At 34.8% G+C, this 7,203-nt stretch overlaps 1 protein-coding gene across 1 annotated transcript, besides 1 other annotated feature; it reads left to right on the top strand.

Annotated features, from left to right (window-relative positions):
* The first annotated feature begins 245 nt into the window (after window positions 1–245).
* LOC107986375 (thymosin beta-15A-like) lies at window positions 246–383 on the top strand. Its single transcript, XM_047418000.1, has one exon. It carries the CDS (start codon window positions 246–248, stop codon window positions 381–383), a length of 138 nt encoding a protein of 45 aa, XP_047273956.1.
* Window positions 6,179–6,680: an enhancer, noted in NCBI's record as "H3K4me1 hESC enhancer chr5:116348941-116349442 (GRCh37/hg19 assembly coordinates)". NCBI's record gives its function as "activates a minimal SCP1, AML or CMV promoter by ChIP-STARR-seq in naive H9 embryonic stem cells {active_cell/tissue: H9 hESC(naive)}" and the evidence as "EXISTENCE:reporter gene assay evidence [ECO:0000049][PMID:30033119]".

The following is a 7,203-nucleotide window of genomic DNA, read 5'->3' as shown; positions in this document are numbered from 1 at the left end:
GTGTTGTTAGATGATTTCGTCATTGTGTGAAAATCATAGACTGCACTTATGCAAACCTAGGTGGCATACTCTACTAACCTAGGTTATTGTTCCTAGGCCACCAACCTGTACAGCATGTTACTGCACTGAATACAGTAGGCAATTGGAACACAATACTATTTGTCTACCTAAACATAGAAAAAACACAGTAAGAATATGGTGCTGCTATCTAGTCCAGAGTGAACAACAGGCTTTCTTTAGTCAAGATGAGTTATAAGCCAGACATGTCAAAAGTGGGGAAGTTTGACAGGGAAAAACTGAAGAAAATTAATAACAAAGAAAAAAATACTCTTCTGCCACAGGAAACTATCCAGCAGGAGAAAGAGTATATTCAAACATTCTAAAATGGGATCTCCTCCCAAGGGCAAATTTCAACGTCATTTGAGAGTCTCGGTTTTGTAAACCAGTGCGTTTGTAGAAATGTTAGAGATTTTCCATTGTCTTCTCATCTGTACACCTTGGCTAAGAGGTCAGAAGTGGCCAATGTTTCCTTAAGCTTACTTTTTTGTTTTGTTTTCTTTTTTGAGACGGACTCTTGCTCTGTCACCAAGAGCGATATCAGCTCACTGCAATCTCCGCCTCCCAGGTTCAAGTGATTCTCCTGCCTCAGCCTCCCAAGTAGCTGGGCCTACAGGTGCCCGCCACCACACCCAGCTAATTTTTGTATTTTTAGTAGAGATGGGGTTTTGCCATGTTGGCCAGGCTGATTTCGAACTCCTGACTGCATGATCCACCTTCCTCAGCCTCCCAAAGTGCTGGGATTACAGGTATGAACCACCGCTCCCAGTCCTTAAGCTTACTTTTAAACTTACCATTGATGCATAAATTCCAGATGGCAGATGCTGTCAATAATCTTACCATTGATGCCCTTTGTGTATATAGTCCTTGTACCCCCTACAAGATAAGGCAATTTTAACCTTCTACAGTGGGCACCTCCGTTCTCCATAATCTTCATGAGGTTGCACATTTTTGCAGCTTCTCACAGTTTATTTTCATTTCTAATGTAGCAATAAAATAATAAATACAATATTATATTAAAAAGTTATATGGTATAATAATCTTATGGGACCACCATCATCTGTGCAGTCTGTCACTGGCCAAAACATTATGCAGTGCATGGCTGTATATTAAAACCAGTGTCATCCTTTTGAAAAGACCTCACCTTTAACTGTAATGGCTAATAGTTTTATGATAGCAACTTATTCATTAATTCATTGACTTGAATAGTAGACTTTTGAGTTGGTCTTCATTAATAGTCTATGTTATTTTCATGGTTTAAAAGTGGAGGTGGCTATTTTGTAAGAGCTAATTTGAATTGTTTCCCCAGGACAAAGAGGTTGCATTCTTCCTTTGTGTTATAAAATTTGAGGCCATGATTACAGTATATCTTTGCATCACAATGAACCCAAACTCACTTTAAGGAAGGTTTGACTAAGCATGCTAGAATTGATTGACTCATCTCCTAGCAGAAAGTGGCTTTCTCATTAGGAAATTACTCTGTCCTTCTATTCAGGTAACTACATTGTCATACGATGATTTCAACCCTACCCCAGCTTTAATGATTATTAAAGACCAAGATTCTGCACTTATCTGGGAAAGTTATCTAAATATATTTTGAATACGTGTTATGAATATGTTATTTTATTCCCAGAAAACATTGATTGGAAGTTTAGTTTTAGTTTAAACATTACTGTTAAATTTATTAAAATAAAAAAGTTTTAAAAATCCTGATTCTTCCTCAAGCTTAGAAATTTAGATTACCAATGATACCATCTACTTATAAATCTAACAGATTTCAGCAGTTATTTAAGTACTTTGAATAATATTTGGTTGTATTAAGTCTTAGCCACACATCTTCAAACATGTTAAATACATTTCTTGAGTTTATGACTTTTACTTCCTTCTTAAAGTTCTTTTCTCTGACTTAATAAACACAAATATCAAATTAAGTAACTCATAAATATAATGAATTAAGTTTATAAATATGTTGAATCTAATAATATTAATATCTCAACACTGTTTATTCACTTGGTAAACTTTCTGAACATCAGAATACTGAATCAATTACTCAGTTACACATTTTCCATTAGCAGTAAGGGGCTGCCAAGCTTCTGACATATTCTCTTACATGTTTATAACTACTTAAAATATCAATAATATAATATTTTAACACAAAAATATTAATAGTATAATTTTTTCCTCAAGTTTATAACATCCTTAATTATTATTTTAAATCTAATATTTACTATTTCAAAGAATGGATGTAATGAATATATTACTTGTAAAGCATAGTAATAAAAATGAGTATCTGTAAACCCATCACCCAAGTCAAAAAGTAGAACATAGTGAGACCTACACTGACTCTATCTATGGGTTCCATCCCCAGCCTATCACTTTGCTTCGGGCCAGAAATAACCAAGCACCATCAGTACTCAAATATTTTTTAGTTTGTCTTGCCATTGCCTATTTTCTTGTGCATAATATTTTAGCATATACATGTGTATCCCTAAACAAGAAATCTTTTGAGGCGTGTACATTTTTTTATCATTTGTGCATATTTCTAAATTAACCCACTGTTATAAGATGCATTCTTATGAAAGAAGACCCCAGTAAACTATGGCTATTCAATTCTTCTTTTTCTCACAATTAGAGAGAGTCTTCTTATTCCTCTGACTACTGAACTGAAGTCGTTATTGTATTCCCCGTAAAAGGGGATTTCAAAACTTTAGAAGGAGGTAGTAGTATCTTAGGGCATATTATGGAATCCTCTGCTCAGAAAAGTTTGTGGCTTTTACTCATATTAATTATGTGGTTAGATTTTACATTTTATCTTTTAAGTTACATAGACATATACATACCTAACTCTTAAGGCATTTGAACTTTATTATGTCCTAAAATATAAAAAACATTGAACTTTAAAGACTTTCAAAATTTACGAGGTCATGCTTTATTTCATGCTTAGGGGTGAATCAAATATTATAGATATTTGCAATGATATTTCAGTCGACATTGGGAGCTCTCAAATTGCTAAGCTTACTAAGGATAATTAATTCTCTCTATACCAAAAAAAAAAAAAAAAAAAAAACCCGACCCTAACTTTAGAATACAAACCACTTTCACCTTCCACCAATATTCATAAAATAAGATTCCAATACTTCAATCCTCATGATAACAAAGTAATCTGTTTACATGTATTTAGGTTATAGATGTTTACACTTAAAATGATTCCAACTAAACCCTGTACCTTCAGGTGCACATTAGACATTTCCAACTTTATTTATCCTATTTAACCTAGAGACTGAAAAGCTTAGGCAGTAATAGTAACCCAAACATCTATATATAGAAATTCCCTTTTTTCCTTCAAACTCAGGGGTTCTCAAAGTTCAGCATCTTTATGAATCACAAAATAGGATTGTATACACAAACATGGATATTTCACTTTACAGGAGAATCAAGAGATTTTCAAAAGTAAATTTAACTGTACATGACTTGAGCTGTAAGTATTGACAGTAGAACCCAGCCCTTGCTAAAGATGCATTTTTACTCTTAAAGTTGAATTCAGTCCTAATAAATATTTTTCAAATGCTCAGCTGAGAGAGACAATATTAGTGAAGGCTGGCCTGCAGTCCCTCCTTTCACTAGAACAGAAAGGCTTGAATGAAGAAGCCCATGAATCGTTTTTCAGGAAGTCCTAAAGGTGCCCCCAAATTATATATAAAATTGGATTTCTGTAGACATTTTTCAAGAGAGACAGCTTGCTGCTGGAATCAGATTTTTAAAGTCAACACTTCCAAACATTTTTCATGTAATGGTACAAATAAAAAAGTATAATATTTGTATAGCACTCTGTGGAAAACTAGAGGGATTTAAGGGAATCTAAATTGGAATTGATTTTAAAATTCATTACATTTTCTTGTGTAATTATAAGCACAAAATGCAAAGTACTAGAGAAGCTAATAATTATTAATGTGAATAATATGTCCAAATAAAATATTTTAAAATATTTAATGAAAATCATTAGCTTGTTTTCATGAATACAGTTTTTCAATATTAAGTTTAATGCTTTAAATGGCTAGATACAATCCTTGGTCAAGATTTTTCAATAATGATGTATTCAAAATCTTGAGAGTCACCATCAACAAGAAAATTTATTTGTACAAATAGGTAACAAAAAATATAAATCCAACCAAGATGAAGTAGCAGGAACCAAATTTCCCTTCCCACTTGAAACAAACAATAATTCCATAAAAAATAGATGAAAGAATGATATCCAAGACACTGGACATAAAACAACAAAGGATAGCGATATCTGAGAGACATTGAAAAAAAAAAAAAAACGGTGAGCCCTTCAGTGCCCCAACCTACAGCCTTAAAAGAATTTCAGGGGGAGGAATAGAAAAAGAAGACAAAGCCTAACTCAGAGGACTCCCAGAATTGAAGAAATGGAGGTGAGAATCTAGGGTGATCAAGGCAGCTATAGAGCATTGATAGAATGCCAGAGAGAAGAGAACTACATACAGAAAGAACATCAGAGATCTGTGAATGGTCCCCTACAAGTATTCAGCAAAGTACTGACCAATGTATATATGCAAAAACAAAATAAAACAAAACAAAAAACAAACAAACAAAAAACTACCCAAAGCCAGGGAGGAAACCATCTGAAAGAATCAAAGTAAACTAATAATTCACAGGGCATTGAATAGACTAATGAGGAAGGTCTTGACTCACAGTACGGAACAATCAACCTCAGACTAAGCCCTGTTCTGGACCTACCTAAAGAATTTTAAAATTAGTACTCAAAAGAATCAAACTATTTCCCAGAATAAAATACAAAAATATTTTTAAGAATATATAAATATTCAGCATCCAAAAAATAAAATTTACAATGTTTGGCATCCAGTCAAAAATAACCCTCCCCTCATCCTCCAAAAAAACTACTAGAACTGATAAATAAATTCAATAAAGTTGCAGGATACAAAACCAACACACAAAAATCAATTGCATTTCTTTTCACCAATAATGACCTATCTAAAAAGAAATCAAGTAAACAATCCCATTTACAATAAATAAAAAAATACTTAGAAATACGTTTAACCAAGGAGCTAAAAAGCCTATATACTGATAACTATAAAACACTGATAAAAAGAAATTAAAGAAGACACAAATATATGGGAAGATATTTTGTGTTCATAAATTAGAATAATTAATATTGTTAAAATATCCATACCACCTAAAATAATGAACAGATTAGGTGCATTTTTCATAAAAATAGAAAGAATCCTATAATTAATATGGAACCACAAAAGACCTCAAATAGTCAAAGCAATCTTGAGAAAAGAATAAAGTTAGGAGCATCACACTTCCTGATTTCAAATTATGTTAGAATGTTATAGTAATCAAAACAGTATGATACTGGCATAAAATAGACACATAGACTAAGGGAACAAAATGGAGAACCTAGAAATAAATCTAAGCAAATATACAGCTGACTACTTTTTGATAAGGGCCCCAAGAAAACCAAATGAAGAAATGATAGTCTTTTCAGTAAATGGTGTTGGTAAAACTGGTATCTCCATGCAAAAGAATGAAATTGGACCCTTATGTTACACCATATATAAAAATTCATTAAAAATCCATTAAAGACATAAATGTAAGATCTGAAACTCCTAGAAAAAAACATAAGGGAAATGCTTCTTGACACTGGACTTTGCAATGACTTTTTGGACATGACACAAAAAGTTCAGAGAACAAAAGAAAAATAGGTAAGTAGGACTGTGTCAAACTAAAAAGCTTCTGTACAGCAAAAGAAACAATCAACAAAATAAAATGGTAGCATATGAATTGGGAGAAAATATTTGCAAAACATATATCTGCTTGCATGCGCCCTGCCTTGCCAGTGCTGTGGTGGGAATGCATGCCATCCCTGTTGACCTAACATAAGACCATTGCAGTCAGAGCCTTTGGGGTCACAGACCCAGCCAGAACTCTACCTCAGTGCAAACACAGCTACATGAGTGAAACTAGGCACCGAGAAGAATGGACCCTCCCTTGCCCTGAGCAATCACCCCTGCCTGAGGGGGCACAGAGAGTGCACACAGACCTGTGTCTTTCCGTGTCCCTCACCCATGCTGACACCACCACCAACATGATCACGTGCACAGATGCAGCAGGCATCCCCACCCCCCTGAGTCATGCTGTCACTGCCACTGCTGTGAATGCCTACATGTAGGCAGGTAGCCTGGCAACTGTTAGCACCCTGCAGCAGCTGATGAGCGTGCACCCTGCTAAGCTGTTGCTGCTGCTGCTACTGGCACATGCGAACAAGAATAGATCTCATTGATACAGCACTACAAAAGCTTTGGCTGGCACCACCCATCAGAGTGTAGTGACCAGTAATCTGGAAGCACCTCAGCCCCACACAGTGCAGTGGATCCCTAAACTTGAGGAGTCAGATAACAAAGTCAGAGCCTGATACAAGTTCCCCAGAGTTACAGAATTCAGTCCAAGAGTTGGGAGCTGAGCACTGGTCCCCCTAAAATCTTCCAGAAATGAAGCCAATCAACTGAACCCACTGTATACCACAATCAAACTCTCAAGGTCATCAAATAAAGTAATAAAAACACATTCAAAAGTCAGCAATTTCAAAGACTTAAGAAACATCAGCCCATAAAGGTGAGAAAGAACCAGTGCAAAAACTCTAACAACTCAAAAAGCCAGAGTGCCTTCTTTCCTCCAAAAGACTGTACTACCTCTCCAGCAAGGGTTCTGAACTGGGCTGAGATAACTGAAATGACAGAAATAGAATTCAAAATATTGATAGGAATAAATATCACTGAGATGCAAGAGAACATCAAAACTTAATCCAAGGAAGCTAAAAATCACAATAAAATGATACAGAAGGTGACAGACAAAATAGCCAGTATAGAAGAAAATCAACACAGAAGCGCTGAAAAACAGACTACAAGAATATTGTAATGTAATTACAAGTATTAATAGCAGAATAAACCAAGCTGAGGAAAGAATCTCAGAGCTTGAAGACTGGCTTTCTGAAATAAAGACCCGAAGACAAGAATAGAGAAAAAAGAATAAAAAGGAATAAACAGAATCTCTGAGAAACATGGGATTATGTAAAGAGACCAAATCTACAACTTATTGATATCCCTG

The sequence above is a fragment of the Homo sapiens genome, chromosome 5 (assembly GCF_000001405.40).
Source record: "Homo sapiens chromosome 5, GRCh38.p14 Primary Assembly".
Classification (NCBI taxonomy): domain Eukaryota; kingdom Metazoa; phylum Chordata; class Mammalia; order Primates; family Hominidae; genus Homo; species Homo sapiens.
Note: the sequence above shows the minus strand (reverse complement) of the source record. Positions and strands in the feature narration are given on the sequence as shown.